The sequence below is a fragment of the Homo sapiens genome, chromosome 1, assembly GCF_000001405.40.
Source record: "Homo sapiens chromosome 1, GRCh38.p14 Primary Assembly".
In the NCBI taxonomy this organism is placed as follows: Eukaryota; Metazoa; Chordata; class Mammalia; order Primates; family Hominidae; genus Homo; species Homo sapiens.
Genome location: NC_000001.11, coordinates 216,591,199 through 216,613,393, shown reverse-complemented (window position 1 = coordinate 216,613,393; position 22,195 = coordinate 216,591,199). Strand labels below are relative to the sequence as shown.

The 22,195-nt window shown below is 38.1% G+C and overlaps 1 protein-coding gene across 56 annotated transcripts in view, besides 5 other annotated features; it reads left to right on the top strand.

Moving 5' to 3' along the window:
• Positions 1 to 22,195, top strand: part of ESRRG (estrogen related receptor gamma) — a 634,457-nt gene that overhangs the window by 524,309 nt on the left and 87,953 nt on the right. The window lies entirely within an intron of this gene.
• Positions 11,895 to 11,994: an enhancer, noted in NCBI's record as "active region_2536". NCBI's record gives its function as "activates an Ori minimal core promoter by ATAC-STARR-seq in GM12878 lymphoblastoid cells {active_cell/tissue: GM12878}" and the evidence as "EXISTENCE:reporter gene assay evidence [ECO:0000049][PMID:35858748]".
• Positions 12,095 to 12,274: a silencer, noted in NCBI's record as "silent region_1817". NCBI's record gives its function as "represses an Ori minimal core promoter by ATAC-STARR-seq in GM12878 lymphoblastoid cells {active_cell/tissue: GM12878}" and the evidence as "EXISTENCE:reporter gene assay evidence [ECO:0000049][PMID:35858748]".
• Positions 12,320 to 12,888: an enhancer, noted in NCBI's record as "OCT4-NANOG-H3K27ac hESC enhancer chr1:216773848-216774416 (GRCh37/hg19 assembly coordinates)". NCBI's record gives its function as "activates a minimal SCP1, AML or CMV promoter by ChIP-STARR-seq in naive H9 embryonic stem cells {active_cell/tissue: H9 hESC(naive)}" and the evidence as "EXISTENCE:reporter gene assay evidence [ECO:0000049][PMID:30033119]".
• Positions 12,375 to 12,474: an enhancer, noted in NCBI's record as "active region_2535". NCBI's record gives its function as "activates an Ori minimal core promoter by ATAC-STARR-seq in GM12878 lymphoblastoid cells {active_cell/tissue: GM12878}" and the evidence as "EXISTENCE:reporter gene assay evidence [ECO:0000049][PMID:35858748]".
• Positions 14,430 to 15,157: an enhancer, noted in NCBI's record as "OCT4-NANOG hESC enhancer chr1:216771579-216772306 (GRCh37/hg19 assembly coordinates)". NCBI's record gives its function as "activates a minimal SCP1, AML or CMV promoter by ChIP-STARR-seq in naive and primed H9 embryonic stem cells {active_cell/tissue: H9 hESC(naive and primed)}" and the evidence as "EXISTENCE:reporter gene assay evidence [ECO:0000049][PMID:30033119]".

The following is a 22,195-nucleotide window of genomic DNA, read 5'->3' as shown; positions in this document are numbered from 1 at the left end:
ACATTCTGTGTTTGGCGCTTTAAAAAATAATGACTTCTTACTGCAGAGATTAAAGCAGTGGTATAGGGTTTCATAAAATTAATAGAAATATTGTCACCATTACAAGATGTTACCATTACAATAATATTCTTATAAATCCTATAAACAGAAAATTGGGGGCACATTACAAATCTTTATGTAGAAATTTTCCAATATAGTATTTAAACTAATGACCAAAAGACTTCCAAAGAAGAAGAATCCATTTCTGGAAAAATTCCCAACAGTAACCCAGAAATTTCCAAAAAACTTCCCCTAGTCTGATCACTCCACAAACCAAACAAAAATTCCCCCTGAAATCCCTTTAAGATACTATGGAAAGCAGAAACAATTTACAGTTCAATTCGAAAAGCTGAAAATTTCTTCACTGGTAATGGTTCTAATAAAATTACCAGCAGAGGAGAAGGCCCCTGAAGACCAGTTGAATCATCCTGCTTATTCTGGCCCATGTATTTAGTTGGCTTTCCCCTTCCATAATTCCCATTAATGGCTTTTGTAAGCAGTATTTGCATAGGAAACATAAAGGTGTCTCTGCCACTTCCATTTATTAAGTTATTCCACTGCGCTGCTGCAGGCTCACAGGTAAACATCACTGAGCTTTTAGGTTAAATAAGTCCCACAAAGCAGTTTTGGAAGAACCTGAGTTTTTATTGTGGGATTTTGAGGAGTGTAAAGTAAACTGTGGTTGCGACACTGATGTTACTATGAGTGAAATGGGAAAGCAGATTATATGGATTCTTCCTGCCTTGTGGGGCTAAGCTCTGCTGATGTGTTTGGGCTAGCACAGACCAGAGAAGTGGGGAGGGAAACAAGAAAGGAGGGGGGTGGAGAGGAAGGAACTGTAAAGAATGTTATGCATACATTTTGGGAAGTGATAAAAGAGTGCCAACAAGTTTCTTTGGATGACTTCTCTGTAACCCAAGATATCAGCTAATCTACTTAAATTTCATGACACCTGAGGATTGAAACAGTTCTATTCCCGCCCCTTCCTTCCTTCCCTCCTTCCTCCCTTGTCTTCCTTCCTGGTTGGGCAACAGTAAATGTTAGGATTATTAAATATACAGATTGCTACCATTAGACACATCCTGGAATTCATCCTTTTCCTTCTCCCTACATCTCTTCAGTTACTAAGCCTAGTAGGTTCTACCTACAGAGTATCTTTTGAATCCATCTCTTTCTGTTCATCCCCTTTCCCGCTACTTTAGTATAGATAATTTCCCTTTCTCACCTGGGTTACTGAAATAATCTCCACTAGTCTATATATCTTTGGTGACTTGTGCCTGACCTGTCTTTTTTACTGCATAGGAAAAAGTCCAAACTCTCTAGTAGTTATATAAGCAGCCATTCACAATTGGAACTTAAAATGTTCTCTCCCTAGCCTTCTTTAGGCACCAGATGTTTCAGCCACTTGCCTGCTCATAGCATGCTTTTCATGCCTCCATATTTCTGCTTCTTCATTCTCTCAACCTGGAATGCTCTTCTCACCCTCATCTTTGCCTGGAGAAATTCAACATATCCAAAAGAAAGCACTTCTATTTTGTGAATCCTCAGGAAGAATTGTTTCTTGTCCTATATTCCCATAGGAATTTTTTTTTTTTTACATACCTCTAGCACAGTACAAAATATATGACAGTGAGTTATTAGAGTCCCCCGGTAGATTCTGGGCCCTTGAGGGCAGGCAATAAGTTTTATTCTTGTCTCACCTCCTCCTCTCACTGCCTCTAAACCCAGTTTTGTGACCAAAACCCATAGTTTTGTGACCTGAGTTCATGTTCCGTCAATACTGATGATAAACTCATTGGCAGCAGATATTCCAGGAGACTTTCTTTGAAGGCTTATTTGAATTTCCTATGTGTGTCTGAGTGCACACATGAGTGCATGAGTGTGTTTATATGTGTGTTACATTAAGTAGACTTCACATTTATACACACCTTTATAAGATTTTGTATCTAATGACTCCCTGCTAAGATCTGGTATACCAATGGAATTAGGTCTTCAGGCTACTCTAGGAGAATCTGATTATTGATTTATATGAAAAGAAAACACAAGAAACAGACAAATGGAGAGAACTTACCACTTATATCAAATACCTGCCGTGTGCCAAACTGTGTCTGAGATGATTTTTTTTTTTTTTTTTTTTTTTTTTGAGGACGGAGTTTCACTTTTGGCTCTTATTGCCCAGGCTAGAGTGCATTGGCATGATCTCGGCTCACTGCAACCTCCACCTCCCGGGTTCAAGAGACTCTCCTGCCTCAGCCTCCCGAGTAGCTGGGATTACAGGCACCTGCCACTACGCCCAGCTAATTTTTGTATTTTTAGCAGAGACGGAGTTTCATCATGTTGGTCAGGCTAGTCTCGAACTCCTGACCTCAAGTGATCCTCCCACCTCGGCCTCCCAACTGAGATGCTTCTTGCAATGTTAGTTACTCCTCTCAGAGGCAGTACAATAGCTAGATTCCAGTTCTGCCTCTACCATTTTAAGGTAAGTAAACCTGGGCACTTACTTAACCACTGTTTCCTTTCCTTTTTTCTCACAGGTTTGTTCTAAGGAATAAATGAGTTAATACATGTAAAGCACTTAAGACAATGTTTTTCACAGGATTAGTGCTCAACATTATCAATAAATAAAATACACACATGTACATATACATATATATTTATTTATACACACACACACACACAATTTTTTTCTTGGTAGCACTTAGCTATCCTCATATCCTTACAGATGAGGAAGTATTTGGTTATCCTTCCCTAAGTCACATAGCTAGTAGGTGGCAGAGCTAGGGGAGAGGAATATCAAATTAAGTGCTTTAGGCAACTTGTTTCTCCTACACTGCAGTGCACCTTCCCCTCAAACACTAACGATCAGAGACTGTTTAAGATGGTCTTATCACGCTAAAGCTAAGTCAAATGGAAAAAAAAATGTTCCTTTAAATATTCTTCAAATGCCTTCAAGCCCTGCAAGCTGCATGGACTTAGCCTATTAAGGATATGGGGAAATTAGGCAGGGATTAAGCTGGTTGATGGGCATATTGTAAGCCTATATTTTTCTCAGCTCAGCGTTATCCTGCCAACAATGGGAATTCTGGTTTGGGCAATGGCAGCATCTTTAGAAACATTTTGGAACTGGAGCAAAAAAAAAAAAAAAGCACTGAATTTTGTACAATTATCCACACTTTAAGGTCACCTAATGTTTTTTAAAGATGACAAGCCTATTTTAATAACTCATATTTCTATTGCTAAATGTATGACCACTAAATTGAAGGCACACCTGCTATGGTACACTCTGCCTCTGTACCAAATACCATATAGGGAAATAAATGAGGGCTAGGCCCTTCTGTGACAGTGAACTTCACTTTTGTGGAGACTGATCACTCTTGAGAGGTGATAAATGCCAGTGGAAAGGTACAGTAAGCCATCATATATTAAATATGGAAAAGTACTTTTAAATAATATTGAAACGTGCAAAATACAAGCTGACAGCTACCACCAAATAGAAATGTAGGCCAAGATTTTGTTTGACAGAATTAACCCCTAATGAAGATTTTGACAGGAAGTGCCAGAATATACAACATCTATGTTAACTAATGCGTCAATAATTTTGCTATTTTTATGCTTATGTCTCCTGTCTTTTTCATGGCAGATTATCTTAAGAAAAAAATAGACTAGTTATTTCTAAAGTTGTTTTTAGCTAAGATTATTTAGTGAATCACAGAGGATTCCATTTTATTGAATCTGACTTAAGTAGTTAGGGATCCTACTTTTCATTTTTTCATAAAATGGATATTATTGAATTATGAAACTTCAGTTATTACTTCTGTTATTTCTAGAAAGAAGTGGAAATACAGGAGTACCAGGGACTATACTCACCTGGGGTTCAGGGCTCTGCTGCAGAAGCCGTGGCAACAATGAAATGTGTTCTCCAGGGTAGATAAAGGTGTGACCCACTCAAAGGCTCTCCTGAGACAAGTACAGAATAAGTGTTGACTTCTTTGAGGGATGGTCTGTGTTCTTTTCATTTGATGAATGTTAATATGCCAGGTATTGTGCTAGGCTTCAAGTTATAATCATAAACAAAAGCCACATTCTAGAAAAGGTTATAATCTAATGTGTGAATCTGACAGGAATCAAATAATTTCATGAATAAATGTAGAATAAATGTAAGTGGGAAATCCTATGTAGCAGAGGTATATGATGTCGTAAGTGTGTGTAATAGATTAACAAGCACAGCTGGTATGAACATCTAAGGTTCTACACATTACAACGTACTAATTTTTGACAGATTCATTACCAAGTGTTAGTTTTCATTGGAGATTGTAGAGTACAAAAGAGAAGGTGAAAGAAAATTCAAAGCCTGTAGCCAAGAAAGATGCTCATAGGTACTGGAGACCACTGTGCTACAAAGAAGACATGTATGTCATTTATTTGTACATCTTTCAGAAGACACAATTCCTCCTCTTTTTTAGCTATATTACTCTAGATATATTAATTTCAGAGGTGTTTTGTGAACTAGAGGGAATTGGTAAAGTGGTTTTTATAACAAGATGCAATCTGATTGCTTCATTAGATTTTAATAATATGGTTAGTGATTTCTGCCTATTTTAAATGAGCTTAGATCCCCAAGAACCATCAGACCTAAGGAACTGTTTAACAGTGCCTCCGGTTGAAAAGGTGGATTAAATTAAAGGCGGCTACTCATCAGTAAAGAGCCAAAAATGGAACACTGGCTTCTGAGTTCAGTGTCTGGGCTCTAGAATATCCACACATTCCATGCACAAGGGCCCAGTAATGTTGTCCAGTCCTATCATTTCTGTGAATTGAACTCCAGGAGCTCCAGGAAGGATTAGGTTATGATTTGGTGAATCAGTGATTCCCTAAGAAGGTCTTAGATGTCTAGAAGTATCTCCCTCCTTTTCTTTCATCACTTAGAGGAAATTTACTTTATGATCCCCTAAGAAAGAAGATTGAAATGAATGTATGACCTGAATGCCTATATTAAATATTTGCCCCAAAAGCAATGAGACCAGGGCAACTATGCATACATGAAATACGCATTGTTTCAGGAGAACATCTTCAGAATCTACAGTCATGACAAAAGCAATAAAGGAGGATAATATTTAAGTTGATAAAAGATGCAAACATGGCTTTATTGGGTTTCTAAATTCAAATTAAAAGAATAAATATTTCATCAGTGATACTAATTAAAGATTGGTCAAAGATTTGTCTGTGTCTCATATAGCAAATACCAATCAGAACTGATTAAGAGAAGTAACATTTATTGGACTGCTCAGTTATAGAAAGAAATGATTACTATGAAGTCCATTTTACTGAATAATGGTTATTTGATTATAACTTGATTTTCAAATGACATTAGTACTCCTTGATATCATGCCACCCTCTTCTTTCAACAGAGTAAAATTGTGATCTAGGAGAAATAATGCTTTGGGACGTTTAATTATATAAACTTATTAGTGGTTTTGTGTGATTACATGTGCTTTCAGTGTTTTCATTTGTTATCATCCTTGCTTTTTAAAAAAGCCACGCAAAGAATTGATTGCAAGGATTATGATATTCAGGCACTTATCATTTGATCATCATAGTCACATGTTTCCTTTCTATTTTGTTTGTACCTCTCCTTAGATGCAAAATTCTGAAAATAAAATAGTTGTGGTCTCAGTAAAAAATAGCCACTGAGAAAATAGGGAATAAAGGAGAAGGAAATGTAATATTCAGGTTGTGGTTACTGGCGTGGGTGCTCTGGTCTATCAGATTAGAGTCATTTTATAGTAAGGTCTAGGGAGTGGTGTTTCAGAAACAGGCATGAATATGCACACACGGAGTTGATGCTGTAACATCTCTTCATTCAGTTTCTTTCTTTCAAATATAAAGCATGTAAATTGCCGTGCAAGCGCCCACTCTGTCCAGCCTTCCTGACCATTGTGCTCACCCTGATCTCATTTACTTTTATTTTGTAAGTTAGGCTGATGCCGCAGTGTTCTTGCTTGTCTACATAATAAATGTAAACAAGTGACAGAGAGGTCATGATGGTCAAACCTGTACTATTGTCAGTTTTGGTGGCCAGTTTTTTCCACATCTAACTCCATCCACTTTTCTCCAGGCCAGGGTCATGGGGGTGTAGGGATTGTGGTCAGCATTCAGCTGGAACTGTCTTTAACCCTCTCAGGAGTCTGAATGTCATTGGAATAGACAAGATTTCTTTTATACTTTCTAGGTAACATGATTTTATGAATGTAGAAATTCTTTACAGTTTCCTAAGGACAACAAAACCATTATGGGTTCAATTGCTATTATATAACAAGAGGGTTCCCTGTGAACAGCCTCTTTCAAGGATTCCCTAGAATATCTACAGATCAATCTGTGGGTTTATCTAATGATAAATTACCTTTCTCTGTTAACCAGATGAAAATCTTTTCCTTTCCACCCCTCAACAGTGGTGCTGTGCAGTTATGTAGACACATGTCTACTTGAAGCCATTTTTGCTAGCAAATATATGAACAATGAAGAGTTAAAATAATTCTCAACCTGACCTATGTATGCTGCTCCCACACTGTCTCTTTCTGTATGTATGTGTTACATACCAGGTACATTAAAATTCACATTTAAATTTCAAATGAGCTAAATACACCATTGCTTTCAAATAAGTGACTGATTTTTGTTCCTCTCATGTTATATTAATATTAATATTATGGAATCTTCTGTACCCTTGCGTTCCTTGCTGACTATCTGATAATTGGGTTGTGGGGGGAGTGCTGAGGGTCATCTTGTTTAGCTTATCTCTGCAAGAGAAAGAGTGGCCAATAATAAGGGAAAGCGGCAATAAAATGGTAACAAAAAATTGAAAAGAAGATTTAATCTCTGGCCAATTTGAAACATATCCCAGAGAATCCATAGAGAAAAAGATAAAGTGTGACTATGAGTAAGTTAACTAAACACATTACACTGTGTGAGAGCAAATGGAGTTAGTCCATTGTACATGTTTAATTTCCTATTAGTCTCTGGCGTTTACTACCACGTCTGAGTTGGGGCATCTGTAAATTCAGTTAAATACAGTGCATTGTCTAAACATATCACAGCTCCAATCAGTCACCCCAGCTGCTGATAAGAAGCCTCTTGTATTATTGAATCTACAATGGGGAGGCTCTGCAGGCACCAAGATAACAGCTAGGTATTTCACTTTTAAGTGTGTGGTGGTTGGGGTTGGGGGTGGGCAGTGAAGGAACCTAGCTGCTGCCTTTGCTGTTACAGCTCTGACATTTATTACTGCTCTCTGATTTGCTTTATGCCAGTGATGTGATTTTGTTTTTGAATGTATTACATCTTTCTTTGGTTTTAGCTTAAACTCTGTGAAGCAAAGAGAAGGCGAGCAGGGGCAGCAAAGTATTGCAAACAAACAAAATCAGCTTTCTTGTTGTTAAAAAAGATAGCCAACAGCTTCTTCAGAAGGGTCTTTTTTTTTTTTTTAATTTAAGCTCTCTTTATTGATTTTTGCTTTTCTTGCAGATTGGGTGCATAAGGATGAAACCCAGTCTTTCGTTTACTTTTCTCTTTCATAGTTTCATTGAAATTTTTATTAGAGTTCCTCTAATGATTGATCCTCAGAAAGCAAATCATTTTGGCACTAATGAACTAGATGGCAGATCTATACATAATATAGCAAATGTCTTTCCCGAGTTCCACACAAAATTTTTCTTTCCTTTTGTTATTATTACCTTAATCTTGTATAATTATAGTACAACAATCATCTTACTATTGGTGACAGTATACATAGACACATATAGTTATTTTTAGATATAATCCTCTTTCACACCTTAAAAATTTCCTTTTGTAAGGGAGATGTTGATGCTATTCTCATTCCTGAGAGACATTCTCATACCCTTTTCTAAAATCTTACTCAGATACTGGCTAATGTGTTGTGTGAAGATCATAATGTTACCTGTTTCACACTTTGTTTTTTTTTAATAGAATGATTGATAATCTTTTGCAAACTGCTCCATATGTCTAGTTTTCTCATATTGTGAAAGTACAGATCACATTGCCTTCATTTGATTTTATGAGTTTATATTTCCTCTTTCCCAAACAGATGTTTTACTACAGCTGCTATTTGTTTAGTAAATTGGTTCACACGCCATAGTACTATTTTCATATAACACTGCAAATCTGACCAACAATATTAATGCAAAAAAAAGAAGAAAATGGAAAACTCCTTTAGTAAGTTCTAACTTAAGCTCTGTTTCTTGGTTACGTTTACTGGCCTAGTTCTGCACTGTGTGTTTCTTTACAGTCACAGCCTCATTGTACACACATATTCATACCTCCCACTCATATAAGCATCTCCCCCTCCCTCCTTCCATCCACCTGTCCATCTGGTAATGAGCCAAAGAAGCCCTAAAGCTAGGCAGAGGGCTAGAGTTTCAATATATTTCAAAGATAATTCATCCTACACAAAAATGTTACAGTGTATTTGGTGAAAAATGATGATATACTTTGTGGTTTTAAGTTAAAAAGGTCAAGAATGCATGTTTAGATCAAGGAACAACAGGCAAATATTTTAGATGGTACAGGCCAAGGAAAAGAATGTATGCAGGGTGGTTAGGGCGTGAATGCTAGGTATTAGCAACAGATTATTGGATCAAGAAAGTGACCCAATCCCATTCTAATGTCATAGGATGCACTTTTATGGAAAGGTCACTGTTTTTTAGAGATGAGGTTGATGATCCATTTATGAAAGCTCTCTTAAGCCTATATGCCCCTTATTAAGCTATTGTCTCTCAGCTCTAAACCTGCTCTTCTTTGTGATATGGGGGGCTGGGATTCAGGACACTAGGAGAGAGAAAGAATTGTATCCTTGTGTCTGTTTCCTATTAACTTGTTCCTGACAGTGCCACTCTATTAAAGACCCATTGCCCTGACATTGACAGTTGGCACAGTTTCTAGCTTTCTGTGACACTCTCAGATGAAGCCCCATTGTGCACTTGGGAAAGCCGAGCACTGGCCACTGGCTTTGACTCCTCTGATACCAGTCTCAGTCCAACAGGCCCTCTTCACTGAGCTTCTAGATTCTGATGTGCCGAACACTTCCTTTTATTCCCACAATTTCCAGAGGCAGTAGTTGCTTCCTGTAGTTACAATCCCTGTTCAGTTTTTGCTCCTGTAATTCTCCAACACCCTTTGGACCAAAGTTTTCATATTGAATTCTCCCTGTTGAAGTGCCTACTGTGGTTTCCGATTCACTGTCTGGACTCTAACACAGGTGGAACCGCAGTTTCCTAATTTTATGTACACTCTTTCTTTTAATGTCACGCCCTCATTTCCTCACAGGATGCTAGAATGTGTGACTAGGGTGTGATGGCATAAGTTAAACAATTTTTCTTTCCTTTTTTTTTTTTTTTTTGTTTTTTTGTTTTTTTTGATTCAGAGTCTCTGTCGCCCAGGCTGGAGTGTAATGGCACCATCTAGGTTCTCTGCAACCTCCGCCTCCTGGGTTCAAGTGATTCTCATGTCTCATCTCATCCCGCCGAGTAGCTGGGATTACAAGTATGCACCAACATGCCTGGCTAATTTTGTATTTTTAGTAGAGACGTGGTTTCCCCATGTTGGCCAGGCTGGTCTTGAACTCCTGGCCTCAAGTGATCCACCTGCCTCGGCCTCCCAAAGTCCTGGGATTATAGGCGTGAGCCACGGTGCCCGGCTGATTTTTCTGTCTTCTTTAATGGGAATCTCCAAGTTTTATAGAATGGCTTGAAAATTACTGAGGTCAGTGAATAACTGTCTTTGGTTTTTTATCTTTTGCTTATGTCTCCGACTTAAACTGATCTGCAATGAAAGCTCTTTTGTAGAATATTCACAGGGTCTTTAGCATTCAATAGTGTCTTTTTTTCTGGTGAGGATTAAGTACAAATCTTTCCACATCTAGCTAAGTCAAACCAGATAAGGCAGATAGGTAAAGTTATAACAAATATTTGCATGCTACTTCAATGAAAGTTAGGGTCAGTTCACAGATTGTATCAGTCTTTTGGAGAATGGATGCCTGAGATAATTTTGAAAAATTTTGTGTAGAACATGGGCTTTGAGTTATATTTTAAAATAAGGAGTTTATTGTTAAAAAAATAAGAGGGAATGCTAATGAAAATGAAATATTTTTAAGCTACATAGATTAATTTCATTCAAAAATGTCATTTCAGCATCTTTAATCATTAAAATGGGATTTTTTGTAATATCAAATATAAAATCAAGAAAATTAATGTGGTATTCTGATCAGTGTAGATAGCAACTAAATTCAGTAATTCAAGTAAAAAGATAATGCTTTAAGATCTCTATTATTAGATTTTGCTATCTATAGCAATTGAATTAAAAGAGTCTCTCCATCTATATAGATGGGGCTATATAGATGTAGTTTAACACTAAGTTATAATACAGCTGAAAAACTGTTTTGTCTTAGTTTTCTTCATGTAGACAATGAAAACAATGTCAGATTATTGATCAAGTATTAATTTAAAGACTAAATTAATTTATAGCCAATTTGCATTTATTTTCTGAACATTGAGCTTGTGGAAAATCATTTCAGTGTTCGGTTAAACTGTGAAGATGTTGCTTGGCTAGGCAATTCATTGTATCATTATTTTGAAAACATAGTTCATAGTAATATATAGTGTATGTCAGGGAAATTCTTGTGAAATTTTAGAATAATCCTTGCAGATCTTCTCTCCGCTGCACAATCACCAATCCACTTGGGAACATTTAACTCAGAATAGATAATCCGGGGAGCTTGGTGTTAAAATGGCCAAAGTGTTCCAGGTCAGGCTGGGGATTAAACTGACACAATAGTTCATGGAAAAATTCTATTAGCACCTGTTACAGTTGGCCCTAGTTCTGATTTTCTTATCTCAGTCTTATTGTTTGAAAAATGTAAAGAAACAGATTATACTTGGTATTGATGAATCTTTGCCTTCACAAACAACATTTTATTTTTCGCATTATGTTTTGTATCAAAAGCTTGTTACATGTATGTACCTAGAACAGTCACAAAGTCTTTCAGGCTCATGACAAGTGAGGGTGTGTGACCCTTTAGCCTCTTCTAGTAAATGTAATGGAAGAGGAACCATGTACAACATAGTTACTCCTCAGTGATTCTACAAAATCCCTGAAAATTTTGAAAGCTGCCTTTACTACGGCACTTTCTTTGCTAATGGGGATAATACCCCTAACTGTGTGTGATATAACAACTATATTTAAAATTGAGGAATTTAAGTAGAACACAGAAAGGCTAGGATTTACTCAGACATTCCATACATTTTTATCCAATGCTTATTTCCTAGCTGTGTGATCTTGGGCAAGTCATTCAACCATTTTAAGCCTTCACTTTGTTGTTGTTAATTAAGAGGATTTTAATAACGCTCCCAAAGGCCCTATCGGTTGTAGGGCTTTGAATGGATTTCAGTGTTTAAAGATAAGTAGGGTACTTTTTAAAAATTCCAGAATGTTACAAAGTATATTATAGAAAGCCTGGCAGATAACCAATAATAATTAAGGAGCTATAAACATAATACTCTTTTTTGAACTTGATGCAAGCCCCTTCATCTATGCCTTTATTTCTCTTTCTAAATCTTAAGTAACATCTGCCTCCTGTTGTGATTAATGAAATAATATTCCAACTTGTGGGCAAGAGGGGAGTGGGTCCAACAGCTCTTGCAAGGGACCTGGGAAATACGCCACTGAAAAGAACGCAACTTGTACGAAATAGGTAAATCCCAAAGCCACCACATTTCTGCCCTGATTAAGGGCACCCCCTTGCTTATTCACTTTGAAGTCTTCTTCCTCTGTCATAACCAAGACAACTCGCGACAAGGAATCCTCTTCAGGAAATGTGTTAAGTCTTATCCGCACTTGTGTCTCTGATGCGCTCCCTCCAGCTTTCTTTTCTAGGATGCTTGGAGCCCCCCTCCTTCGCGGCGTTGGAGCGGGCTTTGGTTTCTGTTTGAAGCCCGGCGTCGGCTCCGGACGCGCGCAGCGCCCTCCGCGGTGGCTCCCAGGAAGTCCCTGGGAGTCTGCGGAGGGAGCCCCTGGGAGGCCCAGGGGTGGGCGCGGTCCGACGGCCGGGTGTCCTTCACGGGGCGTCCTTTCCACCCAGCTGTCCATGGAGCGAGCAGAGCCCCTGGCCGAGCGCCCGCCCGGGAGCCCGGGGCAGCCTGCGGGTGGCAGTGGGCAGGAGCCCGCGTTCCAAGCCGGCCTTGCTCCCCAACCCGCTGCTGCCGCCCGCGCTGCCGGGCTTCCTAGGCCTCCGCGAGGGCCTCAGCAACCCACGGGAGCCCAATCCAGGCAGAGAACCGGGGAGGAACGCCGAAGCAGCTCTTTCTCCCTCATAATTTGAGATGCTATTTTATCATCAACAGTCTGTGTTCAGACAGGAAAGATTGGGCTGAATAAATGTGTCCGGGAAACAGGATGCAGCCTGCGTCCAACCAGAGCGCGGCGGTTGTGTCCTGTGACCCGCTGTGAGGCTGATCATTCTGCATTGTTTACTCTTGTGCGTACATTTCAAAACACGGAATTACATCCGGAAATCTGGGTGAAAACGACATGGTCCCTAATTGTAAAGTTTTTTCACAGGACTTCAGATAAATGCAGTCATCTGTATACCTCAAGAGTGGATTTATTTATTTGGGATTTTTTTTTAAGACTTTATTTTTAAAATAACTAATGGGTACTAGGCTTAATACCTGGGTGATGAAATAACCTGCACAGCAAACCCACATGACACAATTTTACCCATGGAACAAGCTGCACATGTACCCCTGAACTTAAAAGTTAAAAAACAAAACAAAACAAAAACCCAGCACTTTTAGGCTGACAGCAAAATTGAGCAAAAAGTACAGAGTTAATATCCCCTGACCCGCCCCCCTTCATCCATACCCTCCCTCATTATCAACATTTCCCAGTAGACTGGTACATTTGTTAACAATCGATGAATCCGCATGGATACGTCATTATTACCCAAAGAAGTCCATAGTTTATGTGGGGGTTCACTCTTGGTGTTATACATTCTGTGGGTTTTGACAAATGTATAATGACACGTATCTACCATTATAGTATTACATAGAATGGTTTCAGTGTCCTAAAAATCCTCTCTGCTCTGCCTAGTCACCCTTCCCTTCCCCAACCCCCGGCCAAAATGGATTTAAAAGAAAAATAACGTATCAGACCAGAAGTTTCTCCCTAATTAGTTGCTTGTTTTCCTCATGGACTGCTTCCGGCTCCTAGAGAAGACATCATAGCATGAAGCATTCTTGCACGGTTTAGGTTTTGTTAACAGGGGCTATTAGTGTGTGTGACTTCTTAATCCCCCTTCTGCTGAGGGGCATCTCCAGCCCAGTTTTAATTAACAGGGAAATGCTCATATTATTTTGGTACACTGATTATAGGCGAAGCCTAAGTGGAAGTCACTTTGGTGTCCCAAGGGATTTCCGTGTTAAAAATGCATAGGGTACCTTTTTCTTCTCTTTCTTTTTTTTTTTTTCCTGTTAATTCTCCTCCTCCATGAACTCCAGATAAGCAGCAGGCCCGAGCCAGATTTCATTACTATCACGCACTCTTCATGGTCATCTTTTAATATTTGAAAGGATCATTTGTTAACTGGAAATGGTCAATTTTTTTTTCTTTGGCTTTTGAAATATAATTTTCAATTTTTAATTTGATTCATTTAGATGAAATCATTAATCAGGGTTGAAACTGAGTTAATTTTCTGGAAAATAAATGAGGTTGTTAGAGTGAACATTATTAAGTGGGCTCTTTGTAAGAAAGGGATAATAGCTGAAAATATGGAATACTTGGAGAACTGTAGCACTTGGGTAAAAATCGAAAGGATTTTTTTTCCTTGTTAAGTGGAATAATTCATTTTCAAAATTAGATCAGAGGATTTTTAGCATTAAGCATAATAAACACCCCATTAATTATATTAGAAATTGTAAATAGCAAAGCTTCAAGAAATTGTAAGGAAAGTACACTGTGTAAAGTTCTTCTTGTTGTGAGATGTTAGGACATATACTTTCTGATGTGGTTTTACTTTTTCTTTTGAAATGACTTGTGAACCAGTACTAGCTTTGGTATATTTCATCTCTTGTGTCTCTGGTTAAATTTTCAAGATCTTTAATTGTGGGTTGATTATAAAATAAATCAGAAAAAATTTATTGGAACCCCCTATGAATATCTAAACCTCTAATATTTTTCATTTTCTGACACTTTGCAATCTGATTTGCAACCAATCTCCTTCAGATAATCTTCTTTTTTAACTACATGTACCATACCCATAACTTCACCTAAGTTCCCAGATCCCTCTTGCACTCAAGCATTCAATTTATAACATATTATTTTAAATATTGATTATTTAATATTTCTTTCTATAGGTATGTTTTCTTCCTTACCTAGATTTCAAAAGCTTTGAGTGTCAGAATTGTGTCTTTGTATACCATATGCTCTTCTCTGCACACAGTAGGCATTAAATTAATTCTTTTTGACTGACTGACTCAGTGAATTATGGGAAACTGATGAGGTATACAAATAGCTTAGAAGCAAACCCAGATCCCAGACCATATCAAGCCTCTTTTTTTTTTCCAGCCAAACCTGGATCAAGTTTTAGCCATTAAAGAAGAAAGCATATTTCACTGACTTGCTGTGAGAGCACAGCATGACTTTAAGTGATTAGGATGGTGAGCAAAATACCCTTCCCAAGAAAACAAAGAAAGCTGAGATTTGGCCAGACATCCAGCCACCTCAATTCACCATTTAAGTAAGATGCAGGTCACTGGAGAATTCCCTGCTCATTGTTGCTTCTAATTGTTGCCTCCATTTTTTCATTTCTTACAGTCTCACAAGGTGGGTTGTTCCATATGAACAATTTCTTTCAGCGATTTTTGTTGAATATTCTATATAGAGAAGTTCCCATTAATGCAGTTCAAGAGATTTTTATTGGCACTCCCACAAATGCCACATCTATTTGCAGATACATGTAGCAGCCACAGTCCACTCAGCCACCAGAGGTTCCAAGCTAAACCTGCTTAGAGCTTAAATTTAGCTGGCAGGATGAATTGCACCATAGATTCAACCTGTCTATGTGTTTCTCTACAGTTTTTCTATTCACAGTTCTATATTTCCTATAAAACAATATAAATGGAGGATTAAATTGAACTATTGGTCTTTAGAAGTCAACATGTATCTCAAAGATGCCCTTCCATTCCTTGATCTTGGTAAGTTAATATGTATGAAGTATTCAGGGCAGTGAATGTTCCACAATATACATTTAATAAATGTAAATTATTGTTATTATTATTCACTGAAACAATAAAGAAGGGAAAAGCCTATATGGGTTGATAGGTATACTGTGGAATATTGTATGTGAATGTGGATGTACATATGTGTCACCCTTCACACTGTAGGTTGAATGAAGGTCTTTCTAAAATACGAGTATGATCAAGTCACTCATTTTCTGTCCCCTTCATTTATCCACACTACGTCACTCCTTAAATCCATCAGTGGCTCTAGAAGTATTATAAGCTGAAATCTCCATTTCATTGAGTGATTTCTCAGGATCTACAGGACCAAGTCCCTTCATACATTTCACATTTTGTAGTATCTCAGTTATCAGTAATCCACATTTCCAAATCAGCACTGTCAAATAGAACTTTCTGCAGTTATGGGAGTGTTCCATGATTCCACTGTCTAATATGATAGTCACTGACAACATGTGACTGGGAAGCATTTGAAATACAGCTAGGGTACCTGAGTAGCAGCATTTGAAATTTTATTTTATTTTAATTAAGTTACATAACACATGTTAGAAAACACAGTTCCAAATCCTGCTTTTTCCTGCTTTTCTGCCACAGCTGTTCTCTGTGACTGAAATATCCTTCCATCTTCTTCATGCACAGACACCTTCGCAACTCAACACAGTGATGCCCAAGTTCCTTCTTTGACCTCTCCAGAAAGAGTTCAGTTTTCTTTCTTATACTCCTTCTAGGGTCTAGCCCATGCTTTTATTAAAATGCAAGCATTATACGGCTGTAATTATTTTCCTGTGTACCGGCCTGACTGTGACAGTGAGCCCTGGAAAGAATGCTCTGGTATTGTCTCATGCCTAGCACAGTGCCTGGTGCGTAATAAGCACATTGTACACATTTGAATAAATGGAATTGGGTGACTATAATGAGGCCAACAGGTAAAGCCAATTTCTCTTAGCTGTAATAGACAATTAAATGTGGGTAAATGTGGGTTCTGTTTATTACTATTATTGTTATTATTATTATTGGATAGGGAAATTTTAAACATTTAAAAAGGATAACAGAAACTCCTGTAGTTGGTCAGCAGCTCTTACCTGTATCACAAACATGGTAGATCTCCAAAGGGCCAAAAAAACCCAATATATATTTTTAATTAATTAACCTGCCCCCTCTGGTATTTACAATACATTTAACACTAGGAATTGTATAGCCTTAGTACTCAGGATGCCATGGCCAGATCAGATTTGGCCCAAGTCATATTGTAGACAGATGCAAACATATGCCACTGATTGCAAAAAAATTAAATTTAGTTACTGTTTGGACGAGGAAGCCTAAGCTGGGATTCACTTATTTCGAAATTGACTGCATTGTAATGGTTTAGCCATCTGTCCCACATGTGAAACGTTCAGCTCACATATACTTGGAGCATTGATATTGGCTAGTGGTGTTGGCCAAAGTGAATGCAAATGTTTAATGTTCACAAACAGAAATTGGTTTAGAGATAGCTGGTCTGTTCTCCTCCCACTCTCCCTCCCTGCACTCCCAAGCCTTCAGGCATTGTAAAATAAAAGTGAAGCTAGCGGAGGAGTATAATGGCTCCGCTTTAACTTCCTTATTCCACGGGAGGCTCCCTAGGTCAGTTTCAATCCCTTTCAAACATCCTCCTCTGACTTTGAAGAGAGAGCACTGCCCCCTCCATCTCTGAAGCTGGGCAGTGGCCCTTTTTGTTTTCACGCACTGAAAATGAAGTGTTCACATGAGCTCATTTACAGAGAGTGGAGTTGGCAGTCTTATCAGGAGAGGAGAAAGAAGCCCTGAAGATGAAAAGCTCTCGCAGTGACAGAAGTCTTTATTACTTTGGGCAGTAAGGGAATGCGGTGTACACAGGGTAAAGTGACGGCTACCTAGAGCATTTAGGGAAAACTAGAGCAGTGATCGTGTTTTATGTTGTTCCTCATTCGACTTTCTCAGTGAGCCAGTTGACCCCAGGGATGGGGCTTGTTCAAGTTGGAAGCAACGTAAGAAACCCATGTTCTTCTCCAGAGTAAATGAATTTGCTGCAGTCCCTGACTGCTGTTTGAATTGGCTTTGGGGCAGCATGCATCAAAATCATGCATATGAAACATGGCAATAAACCCTTGTCTTTTCTTCTACACTGCTAAAAACACCCAACTTGTTGCTGAGTTTTATTCTTAAAGTCCTATAGTTTTTCTACCAAAATTATGTGGAAAAAAAATGCTATTGATGCTGTGTTTTCATAATCCAGCATTGTAGAAAATAAAATTGGCAGTTGATCCCAGGGTCTTTGAGGGAGTTTAAGCATAAATTCAGCATTCTAAAGAATCAGAAGTTGAGAGGAAACAGCCAAGAATACCCTTAGCTTTTTCACTGAGTTGTGCTTGAATAGACAGCTAATTAGGCTTCCTCAAAATTTATTTGTCTCTAGAAATAGAGAAAAGGTGCTAAAAGCATAATAGAAATGAAATGTGCTGCACCCTTTCCGAGAAATTGACATTTTATGCATTTGACATTTGATACTAGCAGTTTATTTTTTGAATTATTTGATATTTAATTGTTTAAAATAATTTAACCAGGTTCTTTTTGTGCATGTTTCTCAATGCATTTCCAGAATATATTTTATCAAGTGGAAAAATAAATAAATTCAATCATAATTGATTATGCAAGAATATAGCAGCTGTGCCATGTTGGAGTTTCCTACTTCTATATGTATCATGCCCTGTCATTTTTGAGCTAACCTGAGTTCTTAACATGATGAGCACTGAGTGCCATGAGCACTAGATAATTTTAAACATAAGTAAGCCTTCCCAGGTAATAATATCAACTTTGAAAAAATGAGCTATGTTTTCTATCATTAAACATTTTAAAAATGTGCTATGTAATGTTTAGTTTTAATCATACTGGTTTTTTCATTTTCAAACATTTGTCTAGAAAAGAAAGTCCCTGTCCTCTTTCATAGAGCAAGGGAGATAGATTTCCTGCTCTCACACAAGTACTTGCAGAATTTTTCCTTGGGGAGTTTATAGAAACATCACCTCTAGCCATAGTCTACTTTCTGCAGGATGGTTGAAGTGGTTGCCTCTTGTGATATGACAGATGCTAGAAATACTCCAGGCCTCAAAATATCTTCCCTACCAAGGTACTACTGAGTCCCAAAGTTCTACCACTAAAGACGAATTTCTTTGCATTGCAATTGTTTTCTTCTTATGTGCATCCTCCTAGAAGGGAGTGAAATGAAGGCCATAGATAATTAATATTTACTGAGTGACTGCTGTGTGCCAAGTAATGTGTCTTTTAGTGATGCTGTCTTTCTAAATCCTAAGTCTCCAGGAGAGGAGGAAGGTGATAATGGTGTTAATGAACTATGTATGCAAAGGTCACATAGCAAGAAAACGATAGAGCTGTGATTCAAACTCAAACCATTTTTTTCACTTCACTTTATTGTTAATTGAGTGCTCAGATTTCACTAGCTGGTTCTAGATGCTGAGTGCTCCAGTGAGCTGATGAGATGGAGGTAGAGGACCACTTTAAAAGGCAGGGTTGATAGAAGACAGTTTGCCTAAAGTCTTCCCTCTAGAGTAGATCCCTGGCCATGCAATAGGGCTGATGGCAATACTGAGCAAATAGATATTCTCAGGCATTTTGCTCTCCTTAAAATATTCTAATTTGGAATAGTATTCAAAGAAATTTAAATAATATTATTGTCTCTAGATTACATTCATTTCCAGAGATGAGAGTATTTATATTTGTAATACAAATGTAAATGCTAACAATAACGAACATGTTTTGTACCAGTGACACCTCATCTCATTTAGACATCATGGGTCTGAGAGATACATAGTATTTTTACCCCCATTTTACATATGAGCAAGCTAAGGCCCAAAGAGATAAAGGGCACACATCTGAGAAGAGATGAACCAGGAATTTGACCTCAACTCTCATAAATATGAAGTCACAATTGCTTCTTTATGCCAATAAGTTTCCTTATAACAGGTTTCTCTTGAGTTTCAGAATTCATACTATTAAAATTCACTCATGCCTATAATCCCAGCACTTTGAGAGGCTGAGGCAGGAGGATTGCCTGAGCCCAGGAGTTTGACACCAGCCTGGGCAACACAATGAGACCCCTGTCTCTACAACAATAAAAAAAATTTAGCTGGGCATGTTGCTGTGCACTTGTGGTACCAGCTTTTTGAGAGGCTGAGGTGGGTGAGACCAGGAGGCAGAGGCTGCAACAAGCCATGATCGTATCACTGCACTCCATCCTGGGTGACAGAGGGAGAAACTGTTCCCCCCAACACACACACAAAAAGTCAGTATGAATGGAATAAATCCTAGAATTATTCACTGGGAATCCGTTCTAACTTATATGCAGTTTATTTTGACTTAACATTTGCCAGCCTTACCAGATTACTTCAAACTAGACAATGATTCAAACTTTACAGAAGTGTAGAGAGCAGTGGACTTGTTATTAGTTGGATTTTTAGAGGAATAATTAGAATGCAGGTAGTTATTTACAATTGGCTGTTATCAGAATCTAATCTTCTAAACCGTGGTTAGCCTAGTTGTCCTAGATGTTCCACTTAAAACAGATGGGGTTGGGATATGGGGAAGGCCCAATGTCAGGGTTTGAATTGTCTTTTTATTGTCTTTAAAACAATGAGCCTATATTTCCATTTAATTAAAACAGTAAAGTTGTGCCTCAAATATATGGAATTCACCAACAAGTATAATTGATTTTATTCATTTTATTTTTTTCCCTCTTCTTTAAAAAGAAAACAATTAACAATAGAAGACTGTCCATTTTAGTTAAAAAGCTAAGCAACAATGGAAAAGAAGATAGATTACTGCAGTCATCCATTCATTAATTGAGATGGCATAGTGACTGTTATTCATTCACATTGAGCAACCTGAACAATACCAACTTATTTCGGTGGCTGTTCTTTCTCTAATAGATTTCTTCTTCTTTTTGATAATGCTGAAATGCAAACAGTCCCCTGTATGTAGGGAAGACAGCTGTGTAGTACTGATGTTAGAAGTACTCACTGTAATTCACAAACCTTGTAATGGATTGAATCTGCCTCACCTTCCTCATTTTTAAAATGAGAAACATAGTAATACCTATCTCATACAATAAATATGCGAATCAGATGAGGTAAGCTAGATGAAGTGCTTCATAACCTGAAAAACAGTACACAAATTTCCTTCAAATTATCACCTCTGCCAGATTATAACAAGATGGTAACACCAGCCCAGGTGTGGTGGCTCACGCCTGTAATTCCAGCACTTTGGGAGGCCGAGGTGGACAGATCACCTGAGGTCAGGAGTTTGAGAACAGCCAGGCCAAGATGGAGAAACACCATCTCTACTAAAAATACAAAATTAGCTGGGCGTGGTGGTGCATGCCTGTAATCCCAGCTACTTGGGAGGCTGAGGCAGGAGAATCGCTTGAACCTGGGAGGTGGAGGTTGCAGTGAGCCAAGATCGTACCACTGCACACCAGCCTTGGTGACAGCAAGACTCTATCTCCAGAAGAAAAAAAAAAAGATAGATGACAGCACCATCTTGAAATTGTAGCAATGTCAGTGCCATTAAAATGAATGGAAAATATAAGAGGTGTGGAAAAAGAAAATCAAGATCCACTGGAGGTAATATTACTTCCAGGCAACAGTAACTTTTTGGAGTCTGGAGAAAAGGAAAAATAAGGAAAAAAGGAGAGAATAAAAGAAAAGAGAGTGTGAGCCACATGGAAGGAAGTAAAAATAAAGATATTCAAAGGATTACTGGAAATTCTAAGACCAGTTTAATTTCATTGACACAAAATATGAGTTTCTAATTAAATTGACATTCTTTCCCTGACTTTCATGACTAGCAATTTTGAAGATTGCAGACCAGTTATTTTGTAGAGTGTTCCTCAATTTGGGCTATTATGGTGTTTCTTCGTGATTAGATTCAGGTTATGTGTCTTTGGCAGGAATATCACAGAAGTGATGCAGTGATCTCATCGCATTATATCAGATGGCACAAATTGCCCTTTGTCTCATTACTGATGACATTATCTTGGTCACTTGACTGGGGGTATCTACCAGGCTTTTCCACTATAAAGTTGCTCTTTCCCCCTTGGAGAGTAATAAGAATTTTGTGGTGCGATAAATTGAGACTATAATTATTCCATTCCCCATCAGCTTATTCATTTATTTATTTATGTCAAGGTAGACCGATGGATTCCCATTTTATTCAATGAGTTATAATCCATTGCTATCATTATTTATTTTGATCCTCAAATTGTCCCAGATTTTTCCAGAGAGAGCCCCTTCAAGCTGCCTTCTTGTGACTTATTGACACATCCCCATAACTCTTGGTTCATTTTCTTACTTTTCTGGCACAAAAAGATGCTCCAGGCTGGTTTTGTATGTTCCATGCCACAACCTCAGTGTCAGCCATGTCTCCCAGGAGCTTTATTTATTTGTGGTATAAAATGAAATTAAGAAACCAAGATGTAGATACTACTGTTATTGTTTTTGAATGTTTTCAAACACCAACAATCAGTTCTCTGATTCTCTAGGCACCAACTGGGTATCCAGTACTTCAGTTCAATTCTGATGCTATCTACAATGCTACTAGCAACAGGTCACACATGTAAAGAGCTCAGTCCCATAAGCCTGACTGGGAGGGGCACAGAGCTTCCATGCTCTCTCTGGCACACCACCTTCCAGCATGTTGATGTGTTCACCAGCCTAGAAGCTCTTCGAGCTCCATCTGTTAGGTGGTGTTACAATGTTTCCATTATGTAGGCATGAATGATTAAATCATGGTCATCATTGATGAACTCAGTCTTCAGTCCTTCTCTT